The 20,698-nt window shown below is 36.8% G+C and overlaps 1 protein-coding gene across 22 annotated transcripts in view, besides 2 other annotated features; it reads right to left on the reverse strand.

The window, feature by feature from the left end:
• ATP13A3 (ATPase 13A3) overlaps window positions 1–20,698 on the reverse strand; it is a 91,658-nt gene that overhangs the window by 25,024 nt on the left and 45,936 nt on the right. For 20 of the 22 annotated variants that reach the window (XM_047448912.1, XM_047448909.1, XM_047448904.1 and 17 more), the window contains 16 exons: window positions 20,152–20,309; window positions 19,227–19,415; window positions 17,025–17,086; window positions 13,611–13,761; window positions 11,156–11,272; window positions 9,856–9,873; window positions 9,611–9,764; window positions 9,395–9,515; window positions 6,072–6,196; window positions 4,017–4,192; window positions 3,404–3,526; window positions 3,243–3,322; window positions 2,573–2,615; window positions 2,372–2,481; window positions 1,978–2,074; window positions 1,145–1,217 (listed from right to left, as the gene is read on the reverse strand). In XM_047448912.1, the coding sequence (XP_047304868.1) occupies window positions 1,145–1,217; window positions 1,978–2,074; window positions 2,372–2,481; window positions 2,573–2,615; window positions 3,243–3,322; window positions 3,404–3,526; window positions 4,017–4,192; window positions 6,072–6,196; window positions 9,395–9,515; window positions 9,611–9,764; window positions 9,856–9,873; window positions 11,156–11,272; window positions 13,611–13,761; window positions 17,025–17,086; window positions 19,227–19,415; window positions 20,152–20,309 (1,797 nt within the window). The remainder of the gene's footprint in view (window positions 1–1,144; window positions 1,218–1,977; window positions 2,075–2,371; window positions 2,482–2,572; window positions 2,616–3,242; window positions 3,323–3,403; window positions 3,527–4,016; window positions 4,193–6,071; window positions 6,197–9,394; window positions 9,516–9,610; window positions 9,765–9,855; window positions 9,874–11,155; window positions 11,273–13,610; window positions 13,762–17,024; window positions 17,087–19,226; window positions 19,416–20,151; window positions 20,310–20,698) is intronic. The other 2 variants (NR_164667.1, NR_164666.1) reach the window with 2 other exon arrangements.
• Window positions 11,626–11,826: a silencer, noted in NCBI's record as "peak4979 fragment used in MPRA reporter construct". NCBI's record gives its function as "represses an SCP1 promoter by STARR-seq MPRAs in K562 erythroleukemia cells {active_cell/tissue: K562}" and the evidence as "EXISTENCE:reporter gene assay evidence [ECO:0000049][PMID:32103011]".
• Window positions 19,103–20,302: an enhancer, noted in NCBI's record as "CDK7 strongly-dependent group 2 enhancer chr3:194167532-194168731 (GRCh37/hg19 assembly coordinates)". NCBI's record gives its function as "activates an origin of replication core promoter dependent on BRD2, BRD4, P300/CBP, MED14 and CDK7 cofactors, with strong dependence on CDK7, by STARR-seq in HCT116 cells {active_cell/tissue: HCT116}" and the evidence as "EXISTENCE:reporter gene assay evidence [ECO:0000049][PMID:35650434]".

Here is a 20,698-nt window from a genome sequence, read left to right on the forward strand (position 1 = left end):
AGTAAAACTAAATATAAACACAATAACTATAAAGTTAATCATCTCATATATTTAAGAGGCCATTATATTCTGAATCTTTAATTGCAAAACTACAGTTAAAATAATACACACTTCTTCCTCTTACGATATTCACAATGTTTGAAGCAATATAAACATAGCAGAAACATTTTTCAAAAAGGCTTTCATTACTTATTAAGGTGGTATACACAAGTTTTCCACTATAAAGTTCCTATTTTTCAGCTGGGCACACTGGCTCACGCCTGTAATCCCAGCAATTTGGGAGGCCGAGGCGGGCGGACCACTTGAGGTCAGGAGTTAGAGACTGGCCTGGCCAACATGGTGAAACCCCGATTCTACTAAAAATATAAAAATTAGCAGGGCATGATGGTGCACACCTGTAATCCCAGCTACTCAGGAGGCTGAGGCAGGAGAATCGCTTGAACTCGGGAGGCGGAGGTTGCAGTGAGCTGAGATCGTGCCACTGCACTCCAGCCTGGGTGACAGAGACAGACTCTGTCTCAAAAAAAAAAAAAAAAAGAAAAAAAGAAATTTCTATTTTTCCCTTTGTAACTAGCACCTTGTGAAAAGATACTTTGAGACTGTGAAAATCCTGCTCCTCATCAAACTTTCACTAGTTTTATCATCTACTAAAGATAAGTGGTTCTCAACTGGAGGATTTTGCACCCCAAAGGAGCATCTGGCAATGTCTGGAGATATTTTTTGTTCTAATCTAGGGGACTACGGGAAAATAGGCATAAAGGACATTGTTGACACAAATGACAAAACCTGAATATAGGTTTTGCACCAGATATTATATCAATGTTAAATTTCCTGATCTTTACAACTGTATTTAGTTACATAAAAGAATGGTTTTGCTTTTAGAAAATATATACTAAAATTGTCAGAGGCAAAAGAGCATAATGACTCAAAACTTATTTTCAAATATTTCAGGGAAAAAAATAGAGACAGAACAATTAAAAAATTGGCGCAAGATATAAACAACTGGTAATAAAATAACATATTTACAAGGAATCTGGAGAGGTGTGAGCTATGTTACAATTGTTGATGTAAATTTACAAAAATTTAATAAGTCACATCAGAATTTCATACACTTTAAAAATCAATAACAAAGCAAAATACTCACTTGTAAATACCACTACCAAAATGATTGCCAGATCAATGAAGAGAAACTGGAAGTCTCCTAGGTTACTTAAGATCTACAGAAGTAATTTTAAAAACATTATTAGTTTTTGGGAATTATTTTTATAGCGTCCCCAGGTTTTATTAATAGTTTGGATTTTCCCTATAATGACAACTTAAAAATGACACTCGGACCTGCTTAAAAATTGAAATATAAGTGTCTCTGAAACTAAATATAACATATATTTATAAATATTTGATTTAGTATATTAGTATAAAAGGCATCTCCTTAAAATTCGTTCAATAGGCTGGGCGCGGTGACTCACACCTGTAATCCCAGCACTTTGGGAGGCCGAGGCGGGCAGATCACTAGGTCAAGAGATCGAGACCACCCTGGCCAACATGGTTTTTTTGGCAAAAAGAAAACACAAACATTTACTCAAAATATTCAACGTTGTAAATTAGTATCTTCATCTAATACCATCCCTTCTGATACTTTCTACAAACGGTCAAATGGGATAGTGTCACCATGAGTCTTTAGGATGTCAGAACACTTTGATTATAAAATCTGATAGGGTACCTGTGGCCATCGCTGTTTATACTTTTTCTCCAAATGCAAACCATTCTCCAAATTCAACAAACCACTGTTGAAACATCTTTTCTCATTTTAACTTTTTCAATTTGCTATTCAAACTACAGTAAATTGAAGGTAAATTTATAGGTACTACTCACAGAAACAATTACTAATGGATGCATTCAAAATCAAACACATACGCTCAACATCTTAATTTACGGTGCACATTAAGTGTTATCTCTGCACACAATGTTAATACTCACAGAATACAGCAGAGTAACACTGAAGTACTGGATAATGCTGTACAATGCCATGAATTTAAACACACAGAAGGAAGTTATTAAAGCAGCACGGCCTTCCCTGTGAAAAGAAATCAAATGTCGGCATATGAATAGAAGCATTTTAAACTCCTTTTCCAAACCACAATTTTATCTTGACAGATGAACATCAACATTCAACGGCTACAACAAAGTGCTTATCCACCAAAAGAACTAAACCAAATGAGGAGTAGCAATCAATCTGTTACTAATAAGTTACAGCTCAAATGTGCTAATCTGCTAATATTAAACAAATTCATGTTACTTTTTATGATAATTTTCTCTTCTGTATTATCAGAGACAGAGAAAAAGGGATGAGAAAAATTTTAATTTGTACTACCTGATAAGGTTTGGCACACAGGAAATACTAGGAGTCTTAGAGGTAAAGGGAGATGCCACTGAAGCTTCGAGCTCCGATAAGGAAATGCCTCCGTGTGCCCTCTTCAAAGCCTAATAATTTTAAGAAAACTGGTTAAGTTTTGTGAATATGATTTAGGCTAGAGTAAGAACTATAAAACTAAATCACAAAAACTATACTTACACCACAATCATTTGCGCCATCACCACACATCCCAACAAAATAACTAAGAAACAAAACAATGTTAAGATTTTAATTAATTTCTTAAACTACAAAACATTTAACTTATTAAGACTTTTCTATTACAGTATTATAAAGAGCTAACACACCAAGATTCCCCCAGTGGAACTATGAATCTTTTCACTATAATGAACACAGGTGTGCTGCTTTGCAAACAGCACCAGACCACAAGTGAAATGAGCTAGGTTATTGTCCTATTTCTGTCACATTATCGGCAAATCATTTTGGTGTCTCAATTTCCTCATCTTTAGAGCAAAGCGCTTGTGCCTACAGTCTTTAGTATGGCTACTTTTAACGTTATCAGTAAAAATTTATCCCTTAATAACCTGAAACATAACTGTTTACTAAAATGATTAGCCACTTCTATCAAGATAGAGCACCTGAAAGAATGAAGTCATAGAGAAAAAACTGTGGATATTGTACTTTAGCTAAATAAAAAGCACATGAGACTCTTTTAAAGCGGCACTTAAAGTTCTGAACTATCTTATAGATCACAATTATATATATAAATATGAAATATTAGTATAAGAAACATATAAAAATTATTTTTCTGATGCTGAAATGAAACCATCATTCATCAAAAACCAAAACCAAAAAAGACACCAATACTTACTCAACATTTTGCAATGCTTCTATCAACTGTGTCTTCTGATCAGGTGCCATACGGGCAAACACGGTGCCATGCAACATCAACTGGAAACAATAATACAAATTTTTTTAAAATACTGTTGCGATGCATTCATGTGAGCACACACATACACCCAAATTACTTACCTTAGGAACAAGGTCTTGAAAATGCTCCAGTATCACTGAGAATGATTTTCCATTCATTGCAAAATGATAACGAGTCATTTGAAGATCCTCTAAGCTATCATGGACCAATTTAACCGGAATAGCCTGTGTATATGAGACATTGGGAACAATATTTAGGCAACCAAACCAAGTAAAACAATTCTATTTTAAACATATTTGTTCTAAAACTGAATTCTTTCATTTGATATGTTCCACAACATGATGAAAGCCGGACATTTATTCAAAGTAAAAAGAAACTCAATTAAATATCAGCTTCAATTTGAAATGATGCATGAACTGAGTATGATGGACCACCTGCATCATTTACCACTAGTTACCTGAAGAATACGATAAACATCTGGAATTCTTGTACTTTAAAACTATGCTTCTCATCTTAGCTAAATATCAAAATTTGAACATTGAGATTCCTGGGTCTGTCCCAGTCCTAATGAAACATAATCTCTGAAAAAATAGCCCTGACTTCTGTTTTCATTTAGTTTTTGCTTTACTGTGTTTTAATGCACCACTTTTTTTATTTTTTCAGACTAAATTTAAATCAACAAACTTTAAAACGGACAGTCGATCTTGACCTTACCTCTGGGTCAATTGCTGATGGATGACTGCACTGCGTGAGGGAGTCTGCATAATGCCAATTTATTTTGGCAACTTTCCCATCCTTTGGAGGTAATGCTTCAGCAATAATCACTTTATCCTGAGGTAGAATCATTCCACAATCTCTGGCCACAGAGACAGCAGTCAACATACTGTCACCTAATTTTCAAAATATTTTAAATGTATTGAAATTAAAATGGAAACGTGAACGTATCAAACATGTACTTGCTGAGAATCTACTACAGTCTCCATGACTGGGCTGGCAGAGTAACGATAATGTATGGTTCTTCCACTTACAGTTTAAAAATAACAAAATTGGAGCATACTTATCAAAAGAAGCCTCAAATAACGCAAGCACGTTATATGCTAAAGAAAACATCTCACCCACAATTTTTAAAGCCAAATATAATTCTCAATCTTTTCCAGTCATGCACTATTTGTATCTACACAATACCTGGCACGGTGCTACACACAGATCAGGTGGCTCAATAAATACTTACCGAAATAACTTTACAAAGTGACTAGTGGTCTGTGCAAGAACACCAGCACCATATCATAGAAAATGATGAATTACAAAAGCAAGATCATACAAAACAAAAAGGTAAGACAGGTAATAAGAACAGGTGTAAACGAGAAACAAGAGAGACAACTTCTCAGTCATGAGAAGAAAGAAGAGCAGCAAGAACAGGATCTTATTAAGGAGAAGCAGACAAAGGTTTGTGGATCCCACTGCTACCAAAACAGAAGAGCGAGATATTTCTTTCCTCAATTTCCACACACTATTTCCAAGAATATCTTCCTATGACCTTTGGTACACAAAGCCATATTCTGGCAAGGGGAAAATAAATAAATAAATAAAAGAGGAGGACGAGGAACAGGTGAAAAGTGTCTTGACAAAGAAGACGCAAGAACTAAGAATGGCTGGAATGCTAACAGACTTAGTTACCTTGAGTTATACGGTAAAATTATGTTATTAGATAGATCTCAAGAGTCTAAAACACAAAAATGTATACAGACTTTCTCCATATTAGTCTTACTGAACACGTAAGTGCCATTAAGTATCTTAAATCTGATTATCTGCTAAGAAAAAAAAACAAAAAACAGAGCTACCACAATTTCACACAGCTAATGAGTAAGAGTTATCTAATATTATCAACAGTATAGTAACATCAGGAGAATCCCTTAGATGTACTAGAAAAAAAAAAGTAGGCTATTTCACTAGAATTCAAGCTAGGGTAATAAACAATATCTTACATATAAACATTTCATGCTATCGAATATCTATTAATCATTTTCTATGTAGCTGACAGTTCTAAAAGTTGCAAAGGACCCCAACATGAGTAAAATATACTCCTAACCCTCAAGAATCTTATATTCTAGTACAGAAAACAAATCTACAAATAACACAAGGTACAATAAGTGCTATAAGAAATATACGAATAAAGAGAGAAAACAAAAAGGAGTCAAGTTTAAATTTTTACAGTGTACTTTTACTATTCTTTTTTTTTTTTTTTTTTTTTTGAGACGGAGTCTCGCTCTGTCGCCCAGGCCGGACTGCGGACTGCAGTGGCGCAATCTCGGCTCACTGCAAGCTCCGCTTCCCGGGTTCACGCCATTCTCCTGCCTCAGCCTCCCGAGTAGCTGGGACTACAGGCACCCGCCACCGCTCCCGGCTAATTTTTTGTATTTTTAGTAGAGACGGGGTTTCACCTTGTTAGCCAGGATGGTCTCAATCTCCTGACCTCATGATCCACCCGCCTCGGCCTCCCAAAGTGCTGGGATTACAGGCGTGAGCCACCGCGCCCGGCCGTACTTTTACTATTCTACTACACTTTCTATAAATAGGATTCGCTAGACCTCAAAAAGAATATGACAAAGTTATCTTGCGCTTGGGAAAATATTCAGAGCTAAAAGAGAACTTAGGTTGAAACCACTATAGACTATATAATATGATTTTATAACTGATTATCCCTCAATATAATATAACTTCAGCTCTGTCACACTCCATTTGCTTCTGTGTTCTTTTATAAAGTCTAACCTGTGACCATGACGGTGCGAATGTTGGCTTTATGCAAATCTTCAAGTACTGCAGGGGTTTCTTGCTTTAATTTGTTCTGCATTATAATTAATCCCATAAAATCCATGTTGTTCTCAATTGCATCTCTGCAGAAAAAGAAGTTTTAACACATAATGGTTTAGTCAATTGAGTAAGCAACTTATGTACACAAACTTGAAATATCTAAACAATTAAAAATGTCTATAAGTTATAATGCAGTTTAAAATATCTATAAATGAAAACATTTTATATGCTGAATAAACCACGTGTGTGTTCAAGAGTTCAGTATCTCAATATAATAATCATTTGGAAATGTATGTCACTGTACACTAAACAATTCTAATACTAAGGAATATTCATTTTGTGTAGTATCCAAAAATAAGCATAAATCTATTCTTTACTGCCCTCTACAACATATCCTAATTTAAATGTTAAGTGAAAAAGAAAAAACTGTGCCACAAGCACATTCAATACAGTTTTCGTGGATTCATTATCAAGTCTCAGATCAATTCTATAAAACAATTACTGATCCTGAAAATGTGACACAAGAACCATTAGCAATCCAACAATGAGATCTACTTGGGACCCAGAGATGGGTCTTTGAAAATATTACTAATATAGTTATCAAGATGCTATTCTTTAAATAACTGAGTATCAAGAATGCAGCAGGCACTATGCTAGTCACTGGGAGGTTAAAGACAAAAAGGGATGATCTCTGCTCTCAAGACACTTGGGTGGGGAAACAGACATGCAACCAAAGAGATGCACACAAAAATAGTACGTGCTTTAGCACTATAAAAGAGATGAAGTCTGTTCAGTGATAGTTACGTTCTTAAGAAATCTCAGGTCAGGCATTGTAGCTCATGCCTGTAATCCCACCACTTTGGGAGGCTGAAATAGGAGGATTGCTTGAACCTAGGAGTTTGAGGCCAGCCTGGGCAGCATAGTGAGACCCCGTCTCTACAAAAAATGAAAAAACAATTAGCTGGGCATGATGACATGTGCCTGCAGTCCCACTACTTGGAAGGCTTGAGGAGTGAGGATCATTTAAGGCCCAGGTGGTCAAGTCTGCAGTGAGAAGTGTTTGTTCCACTGCACTCTAGCCTAAGCAACAAAGAGAGATCCTATCTCAAAAGAAACAAACAAAAAAAGAAAACAAACAAAAAACACCTCAACCTACCTGAATTATATCATAGAAATTTTTTTCTCAATGGGGAAGGAGGAGGGTCTGAGGTCAGAGACTAGAATTTCAGACTTGGAATAACCAAATGATTTTTCTGACAAAATTCCAATAAAAGTTGCTTGAAGTATGTATCTATGAAATCTAAAATCTTTGAAACACCTAATTTCTAACAATGGGTGGTAAGGATATTAGAGAATAGTTGAGAAAATTAATATAAATGAAACTGCTGGTTTTAACAGCAGGAAAAAGCCTTGAAACCTGAAATTGTATTTCAAAGCCCAAAGCTGTATCAATGTGAAGACAATGTGTCAAAAGCACTAAGCCGCTTTCCTTCAGGCCCCAGTTTCTGGCTTCAGCTCGTCTCCTAACTCTCTCACACCGTATGAACGATACAGGTCAAGGAAATCTTACCCTCTAGTTAGTGAATAGTCCAATATTCAAGATATAAAGGCTTAAGCTATAAGGGAAATGCTAAAACCTGTTTCTACAAGGTCAAATGGAAACACAGAGGTCTCGGTGGAAGAGTAAAGAAGAAAGGGAGTAGAGAAAGAGAGGAAAGTTAACAAGGAGGGACAGGGTATCCTCAGCACAAGGAACAGTCTATCCAATGTCATGGAAGGATGTCTCAAGATGACACACCTAACAACTATAGGCAGCCGGGTGCAGTGGCTCACGCCTGTAATCCCAGTACTTTGGGAGGCCAAGGCGGGCAGATCACAAGGTCAGGAGTTCGAGACCAGCCTGGCCAACATAGTGAAACCCTGTCTCTACCTAAAATACAAAAATTAGCCAGGCATGGTGGTGTGCACCTGTAGTTCCAGCTACTCAGGAGGCTGAGGAAGGAGAATCGCTTGAACCCGGGAGGCGGGGGCTATGGTGAACTGACATCGTGCCACTGCACTCCAGCCTGGGCAACAGAGCGAGACTCCGTCTCAAAAGAAAAAAAAAGAACTGTAGGCAATTCAGTAATTAGTGTTTATGGGGGAAAATGGCAAAGGCATCCACTGTCTTATCCCCTAGCACCCTTGCTAGTGTGAAGCTATAAATTAAGAAGAGACTAATGTGTCCTTAGTAGGAATTAGGATATAATATTATACCCATTTGTGGTTCCCGACATGCATATGTATCACATAATTTGGGTAGAGGTTTTTCATTTTTTTTTTTTAAACTCATGCTTAGACCTCACCACCTCCCCCAAATAGGCAGAATTAGCAGGACAGCCAAGTGACACTCCTTTCTGCTTACAAAATGCTAGGTACATCATGAAATATTCCTAAACAAAAATGCTATCCTCCAAGGTAGGTCTGTATCAGTTACAGTCAAAGTGACAATCCTTGAATATGACACTGTCATTTGACGGGGGGACATGGAGAGTACTGGGGATTAGGAAAGAAGTGGAGTGGGAGGAGCTTGGTTACTATGACTCATTATATTCTGATCAAATTAGTAGTTATATCCAACCACTGGGCAAAAGTGAGAAGATCAATTGGTGAAAATAAACTTCTAAAAAATTACATTTACTGTTCTTGGAATGTGCCTGACACATAGTGGGCACATAATAATTAACAAATTGAAAACAGTTTCAAAGAGCTCTAAGGAAAAAACATGATGTTACAATAACATAAGGAAACATAGGTAAACAGTCAACACAGAATGATCACTTAAGGCCAGGAGCTCGAGGCCAGCCTGGCCAACATGGCAAAAACCCCTACTAAAAATATAAAAATTAGTCAGGTATGGCGGCACCCGCCTATAATCCCAGCTACTTGGGAGGATGAGGCACAAGAATTGCTTGAACCGGGGAGGTGGAGGTTGCAGTGACCCGAGACTTGCGCCACTGCGCTTGAACCGGGGAGGCGGAGGTTGCAGTGACCCGAGACGGCAGTGCCACTGCACTCTAGCCTAGGTACGGGGTGAGACTGTCTCTCAAAAAAAAACCCAGAATGAAAGGAAATCAGGCAGTGGGGAAAATGTACTTTTACTTCAATCACCTAAAACAATATTATATTAGATATCTTTTCATACATTCAATAAATACTCAATTACATGCAAATTACTGTGCATGACTAATATAACCATAAATGATGATGACTGGGAAACTAGGAAAGCCGTTCAACCTCACCTGCTAATATTCTGTACTTTATGCCATGTCAGTTTTGACTCCAATTTTCTGTGTGCAAGAGCAATCACACGGAAGCCCTGTTTAGTGAAGTCTTCCAAAACGTTTTGAAAATCGACAGGAACTTTTTAAAAGAAAGAGTAAATTTCATTGTTAGAGTTGCTAATACAAGTTTACTCAAATACCAGAATTGTACCCAAAGCATAGATATTTCCTTACCTGTTTCAGGTTTACAGAGACCGGCAATGGCCTCGGGCGCTCCTTTCATGTAGGCGTCCATTTTCCTATCCCCCAGCACCCTGGCAACCACACTCATACGTTGCAAAGCAGAAGAAAATGGGAACTGGCGAACAATTCCTATCTCATAAGTAGCCTATATCATTTCAAAAGAGGCACAAAGCACTTAATATTCTTAAAGAATCAAAACAAATATACTTAGTAAGAAGTAAACATTCTTCACTTACTGGAAGTTCAAACAGCTCCTAAAAACGAAACAAAACAAGAAAAAATAGTACAGATTAACTCTATTAACACACTAAAGTTAGAAAAAGTTTACTAAGCATCCACAAAACATTATTTGGAAAAGAAACAAGCAACTGTTTTTCAAAGTCAGGATTCAAGATTCCTTCTATACTACTTCCCATTTTTAAAAAGTATGTTCTTAAATATTTTCAAATGTTCTGCTATCCTGAAAATATTAACATTTTAAGTACTAAAATAAACTAAGGGGTGCAAGCAAGTGTACATACCAAAAAACACAAAATAAAAATTAAAAAATAATAGGCTGGCTGGGCGCAGTGGCTCACCCCTGTAATCCCAGCACTTTGGGAGGCCAAGGCAGGTGGATCACTTGAGGGCAGGAGATCGAGACCAGACTTATCAACATGGTGAAACCCCATCTCTACTAAAAATACAAAAATTAGCCGGGTGTGGTGGCGTGCGCCTGTAATACCAGCTCCTCAGGAGGCTGAGGCAGGAGAATCACTTGAACGCAGGAGGCAGAGGTTGCAGTGAGCTGAGATCTCACTACTGCACTCCAGCCGGGGTGACAGAGCGAGACTCCAGCTCAAAAAATAATAATAAACTCTGGAAAGAACAAATATAAACAGGAAGGAAAATGAATTACCCAGAATCTTGCCAACCAGTTATACAAATAAGATAAAGTGGTGTTTATTAGAATCTTGGTAAATTTCTTGGATATGTAATACTTATACATGTAAAAAAAATTTCAGGTAACTTAAAAAATAGTAATAATAAACTAAGGGGAATATATTTAAAAATTCACCTAAAAGTAAAGCCTTTCATACATACTTTTTATTAAATTCTAGGAATACAGATGCAATTTAAGAGGATTAACCACCAGCTGTATAAATCACAAGGCACTAAGCTGCTCAGTAAACAGGAAAGAAAAGTGATAGTACTGAGAATTATATCTCAACACAGAGGTGTAGTTTCTGATAAACGCAGTTAAAATATTCCTATCTCTGCATAAGAGTTAAATAAAGGACTTGTGACTTCCTCTTCTAGCAACATTTCAAAATGAGAATTAAATGTAAGTAAGCAGGCTGGGGGTGGTGGCTCACACCTGTAATCCCAGCACTTGGGGAGGCCAAGGTTGAGGGGGATCATTTGAGCCCAGGAGTTTGAGACCAGCCTGGGCAACATAGCAAGACCTTGTCTCTATAAAAAATAAAAATTGAAAAAAATTAAAAATAAATATAAGTAACCACCAACAGTTTTATCTAGCTTTAAGTGATTTCTCACCATTTCTTGGTTTCCTGCAGGGGTAGATTCAGGAAGCAGTTGTTTGGGAGGACGAACCACTGTGGGCATAATTCGATTATGAAGTGCTGTTTCTTCTTCAGTTGCTTCTTCCAGAATCTGGAAAAAAAAAAGAGACAAAAAAAAACAAAAACACAACATTCAAGCACTGCTTCATAAAACTGAATTCATGGTTCCATTTTTAAATAGAACATTATGGCCATTTTCAATAATTAAAAAAAATGTATGTCCAAGGAACAAATGAGCACTACTGGATCACTAACATAAGTAAAAGAAAATATGAACAAAGATGGTGAGTTAGATACCTAGCAACCCATGGGAGAAGGGTTGCTTCATTCAGGGTTAGAAGCAGAATAAAGAAATAGAAACTGATCTCACTTCACTCTTACAACTTGTTGGGTTTAGAGACTAGCTCTGCAAAAGATAAAAGGTTCTTGTAGTCCCCAGAATTTTCAGGCTCATCCAGTGATTCCTTTCTGCTACCAAGAAAGGATTCAAAAGTACATAGAGCTCAGATATGGTTAGCAGAACCGCTGGGTCAAGAACAGGCTAAAGCACAAAGATATGAGTTTAGAGTTTCTCAGCTTGAATACTTCCAGTTAAGCTAATACTTTAAAGAACCTTTTTTGGTGAAAAACATTCGAAGAAAAACGTATATTAAACACACACTATAATTAGTGGGATCAATAAATGAGAAAACAATAGGGAACTGTGAAAAATTAGCCAATTTTGTACAATTCTAAGACACCTTTTTTCGTATCTTAACATCTCTAAAACTGGGATGCATCTTGTATCATATGACATCTGCATCTTGTATCATATGACACCAATCACATCAAGTCACAGTTGTGACTGGCTATGTGAAACCATTTCACGGATAAGTAAGCTCTGGTGGGATCAAGCATCAAAGCAACTCAGGGCCAATGAAATATGCCATTATACACATTTTCTTAATTTCTTTGAAGATACACCAACACTGAACACTAAATCTACTGAAAATCTATTCAGTTGGAGAAAAGCTTAGAGAAGAACGATAAATCAGCCCATTTTTGTTATTCTCTCTATAAATGAAGTGAGGCCTCCTTTTCAGAATTAAACTTCAAGAGTGTTTACCATGGACTTTCAGTAGTTGGCAGATGGAGCACTTATCCAGTCACCTCCTCCCTCTCTCCCTTTCAAAATGTGGGTAGGGAGGGAGGGAGGTGGGGAGGCAGGGAAGAGGGAAGGGAGGATCCTGTAAATGTAAACAGAAAACAAACCTGAAGGAAGGGATTTCAAATATGGAAACAAAGGGCAAACTGAAACCTATGGATGGATACAAACGGGAACGAAACAGTAGCCCAGAACAAACACAAGATACCAGGTGAGGCAGGAACACTTATCAGCCAGAGTAGCTGAGCTAAAGAAAGCCAAACAAAAAACCAGGGAGTCCTCCTCCAGAGACATAAACTGAATGTCTGACAGAGCAAAGGCTGCTGACATGAGGGTGAGGATTCCAGAGTACAGAGCTCCACATGTGCAAGCATGGTGAGAATGGGTGAGGAAAGCAACGGAGAGGCTAACTCTGAAACTATTCCTTTGAAACTTTAAGAACCCCTGTCGATAAGACCCCACCAGACACAGAGCAAGCACCATCCCCCATCCCCCAACAAGCCTTCACGATCAGAAACACTAACATACATATGGGCAAGGGTAAAATTTGAAGTAGCTCACTGCAGCTATGCAGAATTACCAAATCAGATCTTCATTTTTAGAGTAAAAAAGTGCCATCCAGATGTACAATGAAAACCAAGAGCATGAAGGAGAGACACCAGCCATGGGGTGGGGGCCAGAGGAGACCATAACCTCAAAGAAAATAAATAATTCAGAAGCCAGAAGGGAACTCTAAAATGAACTGACTTTGTATTTATAAAAGAAGAACTGAATGCTGTAAAATGATAACAACCAGAGAACGTAAGCAGGCACTTAGAAATTAAAAGTCCCAATGGCAAAAATAGAAGGAAGTTATAAACAAACAAAAACATGTGCATGTATGTGGACACAGTAAACAAAAGACAGGTAAAAAAGAGCAATGAAGACAAACGACTTTATACACCTTTGCCTGTGGCCAAGAAATTGTGTCAGTTGAGATCATCTTACTGGCTCTGCTCTACCCTCCCCAAGTTGCTGACCCCTGGTTTACCTTAAACACAAAGCAGGGGCCTGAGCTGGTCAGCCTCTATTAAAGGTGTACTAAATGGGTTAACTAAAAGTTACTTTTGCATGATTTTTAAAATATTTCTCCAGTTGATGTAGCTTTAGAAATTACATAGCTCCTTTTAGGGTACAAGATAGACTGTCATTAAAACAAAAAGCAGAAATAATCCTTGTATGAGGTAATTTAATTTTTAACTATTATTTTCCTAAAGTTATTTGTATTTTAAAATATTTGACTTACCCATCCAATAGCCTCAAACATTTTCAGATCAAGTGGATCACCAGAGAGCACTCCTTCAATTTTTGTAAGTGAATGACAAGTAGCCATACAAGCAACAAACTGGGATTTTACCAACATCTCATTGCACACATTTTCTTCTGGTGAAAGAAATCTAAGCAGAAGACACACTGAATTAGTTTCATAAATTCTAAGATTCAAGATAATATTCTAACAGGGCTTTTCTGGTTTTGTAATTAAAAAAAAAATCTTTTAAATCCCAATCTGAGCTCCTAAGAAAGAGAAACTGTCAAGTGTCAGAAATACAGGGAAAAGAAAACCAGAGGGGTGTGAACTTGAGCTGATGCTATGGCTGCTGGGGGGATGAAGGGAGGGGGCCATCTCAGTAAACTAAGAACTTGGGATTTAATACCCACAAAAGGACAGGAAACAAAGTCTGGCCCCATGCAAAGTGGGTAGCTGGTACTGAAAGGATCCCTCTGACTCAGGAAAGCCAGTACTCTTGAAGAGCTACACGCCCTTGGGAAAAGGGCAGATGAGAAAAAATTCACCCACAGACCTAAAGGCATTAATTATGAATAAGCTTGTCTTTTTCCTCACCCAAAGTCCAAGAAAATAGCTAATATCTGCATAATATTTACTATGCACCAGGCATTATTCTAAGAACTTTAAATTTATTGGCCCATTATCCTCACACCATAGAAAAGGTGTTTTATTACCCCCATTATAGATGAGAAAACTGAAGCAGGGTGGTTAAGTGACTTGTCCCAGGTTACACCGTCCATAAGTAGCAGAGCAAGGATTGAAACACAGGAGGTCAGTTAAAGCCTGTATGACACCGTTGATTACCACTGGGGCTCTTAGCCAAGCAAAGTCAGAACTTCTCCAGAGGGGAGCTCAAAGAAAATTCTGTTAAGAATGAGTCCATAATTTAAAGATGCGCTAGCAAACAATTCACCAAGAGTGTCAACAGACATAACAAAGACAGAATTAGAATCCTATAAATTTGGCCAGGGGCAGTGGCTGATGCCTGTCATCCCGGCATTTTGGGAGGCTGAGGCAGGAGGATCATTTGAGGCCAGGAGTTCAAAACCAGCCTGGGAAATATAGCGAGACACCCATACCAATTCCTATGTTTAAAATAAAAAAATAAAGAATCCCGTAAATTTAAGATAACAGAATGGCAAATCTGAAAGAATGCAAAAAGGGCATTTTAAAATTAGACATACAAAGAGTAAGACACTGTAGATGCGAGAGTAGGGGTGGGAGCAGACTTGGAAAGAACCAAGTAAACCATGTGTTGTCCAACACATGGTTAGGATTCCCAGAAGGAGAGAAAACAAAACACAAGGAAAAGGCCATAATGGAAGTAAAAAAGGCCTGAAAATTTTCCAGAATTTATGAAAAACATGAAAGCATGAAATCAAGAAGCATCATGAATCCTGTACACACAAATAAAAAGATCACAGTGAATCTGCAGAAATTAAGGGTGAAGAAATATTCTTCAAGCAACCAGAGAAAAAAAAGATTACTAAAAAGACTAAGATTTATCAGTACCAATTAACAAAAGGTATTAAGAGAAATGAAATAACAGCTTCATAGTATTGAGAGAACACAAATGTCAAACCTAGAAATCTGTATAGTTACACTACCACCCAAGTGACAGTGGGCTGCTCTGCCTATGAAGGAACCATTCTTTATTCCTTTACTTTCTTAAATTTGCTTTCACTTAAAAAAAAAAAAAAGAGTGACAGTGAAACAAAGCAAATGAATGTAGTTACAGAAGATGGCAATTTACACAAGATGCAATGGTTAAGGCATTAGTACACCTAGGTAAATCTAAGCATGCAGACTGTATAAGACCAAAATAATAATCAGAAAATATTATGCAACAAATACATATAGGAAGGGAGGAGAATAACCAAAAGTATCTTACAGTCCATAGGTTTGTTTTGGGGGGCAGGGGAGTGGTTAAAAGGCAGTATTAACATCCATGAACTTTAAGTATAAATATTGATAATGTAAGAACAAGCAGTATAAGATTGGGATGCATAAAGTGAGAAAATGAGAGAAAAAATGAGAATGTGAAAATGTGTATGTAAATTGGGGGAGCAATGGTAGAAATAATTTCTAATATATCTGAATAAATGTGCACATCATGGCACAGAAAGACTGAAAAGTAAACAAGTGGCAAAACACACACTAGGCAAACATCAGGCAAAAGAAAGCTGGTATAGAGCTATATAATTATAAGACAAAACAGAATTTAAGGCAACATGCATTACTAGAGATAAGAAAGGTCACAACGTGACATACTATTTTCCAAGACACAACAACTCTTGAAATTACATTGGCCAAACAATACTGTCTCTCAAGCTATATACACCAAAATTTAGCAGACTTTTGACAGGGGGAGGGGGGAAGACACAAACAAAACTACAGGAGTAAAACTTCTGAGCTTCAAAAAGCAACAGAAACAAAAGTAAAGAGATGAGCCAGAGACTAATAGGATAATTTTCAATACACAATATTGAAAAAGATTCCTATCCAGAAAATAAAAAAGACCTCTAACAAATAAGATAGACTTCCCAACAGAAAAATGAGGATATAAACACACAATACACAGAAGAATGCTAAATGACCCTCCCTCCAAAATGTGAAAAGATGCTCAATTTTATAAGAAATGAGAAGAATGTAAAAACCACAATGTAATACTCATATCCATCCATCTGGCAAAAATTACAAGTCTGACAATATTAAGTTTGGCAAGAATGTGGAGTAAAAAGATCTTTACCCACTGAGAGAGAAAGCATAAAGCTGAAGCCGTGCCCATGCTACGGCCCAGCCTTTCCATTTACAGGGATCTAGCTTACTGAAACTCAGCCACATGCCTACAAGGACTTATGTGTAAGAACTTTAATTCCAGCACTATTTGCAACAGTGCAGAGAAAAAAGAAGAAAAAACAGAATTGTCCCTTAGTAGAAGAACAGACAAGGTTTAATCATTCAATGGAATAAGACAGAGCAGTTAAAATTAATAAACTAGATCTGCACATATCAACATGGATAAATCTTGAAAACAAAGTTTGGAGAGGGGAAAAAAGCAGCAAAACATATGTACAGTATATCATTCATGGATACTTATTTATAGATTTATACTTAGAAAAAATATAAAATATGCAAAAATAATTTCAGAATGGCAGTAGGAATTGGGGAAGGGATACAGTGGGACTTTGGCAACTTCTATAATATTTTAATATTCTAAAGGAAGCGATCTGAAGCAAATATGGCAACATGTCCACGGTTTAATCCTGGTATAGGTACACAGTTGTCTATTACTTCCTTTATGTTTGAATGTTGCACATGTTAAAATATTAAAAATAAACTAATAAACTATCAAGTCTAACTAATATTTACCGTGCATTTTCCACTCGTTGAATCCCCCAAAGATCTAAACCATCTTCAGTTAGAGTTCCAGTCTAAAAAACAAAAAAGCACACATGCACAAAGTATGGATGATGCCTCAAAAAAAAACCCAAAAATAAAAATAAAAAGCAACCACACAGCATTAGAAACTATGCTACATATAACATAATGGAGTTCTACAGAGTTAAAAAAAGAAACAGGCAAGATCCCTGACAGAGAATGGCTTCCAGGACATATGGTTAAAGTGGGAGAGGGGGTGCAAACAATGATCACAAATCTTCTGCGTAAGGGCAGAGAGGGGTATATATTTACGTGCTTATACTATCAAAAAAAAAATCAATGGAAGGATGCACCAGTTAACCTATCTTATCAATCAATAAAGGATGCCTATAAAGCAAAAAAGGAAGGATTACTGTATAAGGAGGGCCAAGAGGAACAGGTTAAAGTACATCAGGAGGAAGCAACTGGCCAAATCCACAAGGTAAATGACCTGGTTTCTTCAACAAAATAACTGGAGATAAGGGGTAAGTAAAGGCAATTGTTACATGTTAATTGTAAGCAATGTAATCCCTATTTGGATTCTGACTGAAAAATCAACTAGTAAAAATTAGAGATATGAGGAAATCTCAACTGGATATTAGAAAAACTAAAGAATTGCTAATTCTGTTAAATGTGATAGTGATATTTTAAATATCCTCTAGACACATACTAAGGTAGTTATGAGTGAAATAATGTCTGATGCTGTCCCCTTCAAAATGAGCAGATAGATAAAATAAGACTGACAATGTGTTGATAACTGATAAAGCTGGGTAATGAGTAAATGAGTGTTTATTATACACACATCTTTTCTCCACTTTTGTCTTAAAACTTTTAGGAAAGTTTCCAAAAAAGACAAGCATAAGTGAAATTTTTTGAACTGATAAATATGAAATAATTGTAGCAGTATGTGACATATTTTTTTCTAACAGAACATGTTTCCCATTTTTTTCTGTAATAATGAAATGCACAAAAATCAAATTTGTATCACATCAGTTACCCAGAAAAGTTTGATAGAAGGTTTTCTGGTCAAAGTTTAATTCTCAGAAAACTTTAAAGAAAATTCCAGCTCAGGAAAGGAGAAACCTTTCTAAGAGGCAAGATATACTTCACACAGGTACATAATTTGTCATTTTCACATAAAATCAGTGACCTTCATAATTCTTAAACATATTCAATAAAATCATACAGCAAACACTAAACATACACACTTACAAGCAATAAAATCATAATAAATATATATGTATGGAGCCTATTGTGTTAAATAAGAATTACTGTCTAAAAAATTAAAGGTCACGTAATCTTTACTGCTACTACTATTAATACTACTAGGCCTAATTCTGGAGTTAACTGAAGCTTTGAGCAAATAAGCAATATCCAAAGTATTAAAAATTGAGAAAATAAGAAATATAGCATGTCCTCAAATACGATTGTTTTGTCCGTCTTTTTTTATAACACGATGGGTGCCAGTGGTGGGGAGAGCTGAGGCCCAGCCGCGACCACTATCTACATGGAGTTTGCATGTTCTCTCCCTGTCTGCATGGGTTTCACTCCAGGTACTTCAGTTTCCTCCCACATCAAAGCTACGCAAGTTAAGTGAACCAGCACATTTAAATGGTCCCAGTCTGCGCGAGTGTGAGTACACCCTGCGATACGATGGCATCCTGTCTAGGGCTGGTTCCTGCCTCGTTCCGCCAGTTGCTGAGATACGCTCCCACTACCCAGGAGCCTGAAATAAAACAACTGGGTAAATAATTACCTTACTTGTTTTTATTTCTTTCTTAAATGAATGTATAGCTCATATTTATTTCAATGATTAATATCAGAAGTGTTTTAGATCTTTATTTAGAAGTTTGGTGATTTTTTGTGACCAAAATATGGCATAGGAACTTAAATCTCATTTGTATCAATTAGCCTATGGTAAAACTGGTTTCATTTCATTTAAAGTTGCAGTTTTCAAGAACCTATCAGTAATGTTAAGTGAGAACTTATGGTATAGAAAAATGATGCATATACCAAATAAGTGGAGGAAAAGGAAAATTAGAGGAACATGACAGAATGTGTCCAAATTTGTTGACAAAGAAAATAAAAAACATTGATCTAAATATTTAAACGCTACGAAGTAACCTTTGAAAGTAACTATGAAACTGAACCCACCTTGTCAAAGCAAACAAGATTGAGCTGTCCACAAATATTTATTCTTTGAGGACTGATACAGAAAATACCGATTTTTTTCAGTCTTCTCTGAGCATACACAATACCAGCAGTCATTGCAGCAGGAAGTGCAGGGGGCACAGTAATTGTGATAATATCAAGAGACTCGATAATTATGACCCCAACTTGTACCTACAATTAACACAAAAATAAATGTCAAATCCCCAGTATTATTTACGGATTTAATATGGGTATTTCTTTAGTGAAAATCTGTAAGCCATTTTCAATTGTATATTTCAATTTTATGTATGTGTGTGTATATACATATCTATTAACCATATATAATTTTTTTCTTCAGATATTTCTGCAAAATAAAAAAGCTCAATGGATTATAGAATGACAGCTACTTTCAAAAGAAACTTATCTCATTTTCAAGGCGCTACATACTTCACACATGACACACTTCAAAGCCGGTCAACAATCATTATCAGATATTGACTCAGCGTGCACACACCTTACTGTACCACTCTCCACTTCTGACAAGCGGCGCCTTCAATTAACTAACCACAAATCATTTTAACACTGTATATTACATCTCAGAGGTAAAAAAGAGAAAATAAAGCTTTTGGTGATTATGTGGGGGGGTTTTTTTTCCTGTTTTTTTTTTTTAAAGTCACAAGACCAAGTAAAAGACCATCTAAACCAGAGGCACCCAAAAGAAGTATCCTTTACAATGGAAATGTTCTATAGCTGGGCTTTCTAATATCATAGCTACTAGTCTCATGACTTTGTTAGCATTAAATTAATTAAAATTAAATTAGCTTAAAATTTTAGTTCCTCATTCTCAGTAGCCACATTTCAAATCCTCAATAGCTGCATATGATAAATAATTGAGGTTCAAACCCTATTAAGAGTCCCACATACATACCTCATTTAAAATGCTATTAATAATAGTGTAGATAAACCCAATGCCAGCAACTGCCACAAGACATAGTAGAAACAAGTAGGCATCTCTGTAGAGTTTAAAATCAGTTGGTTTGGGATACAATATGGAACGAACAAGCTGTCCTTTGGAAGTACTAAATCCTTTCAAAAAAAGAAGACAATTATTGATATTTTTATAAGAAAATGAGAATTATCTCCCAAAACAGAATCTCTCTTTTTTTTTTTTTGAGACAGAGTCTCGCTCTGTCACCCAGGCTGGAGTACAGTGGTGTGATCTCGACTCACTGCAAGCTCCGCCTCCTGGGTTCACGCCATTCTCCTGCCTCAGCCTCCCGAGTAGCTGGGACTGCAGGCGCCCGCCACCAGGCCCGGCTAATTTTTTTGTAATTTTGGTAGAGACGGGGTTTCACCATGTTAGCCAGGATGGTCTCAATCTCCTGACCTCATGATCCGCCCACCTCGGCTTCCCAAAGTGCTGGGATTACAGGCGTTAGCCACAGCACCCAGCCCAGAATCTCTTTTTAAACATT

Source organism: Homo sapiens, chromosome 3 (genome assembly GCF_000001405.40).
Source record: "Homo sapiens chromosome 3, GRCh38.p14 Primary Assembly".
Taxonomy (NCBI): Eukaryota; Metazoa; Chordata; class Mammalia; order Primates; family Hominidae; genus Homo; species Homo sapiens.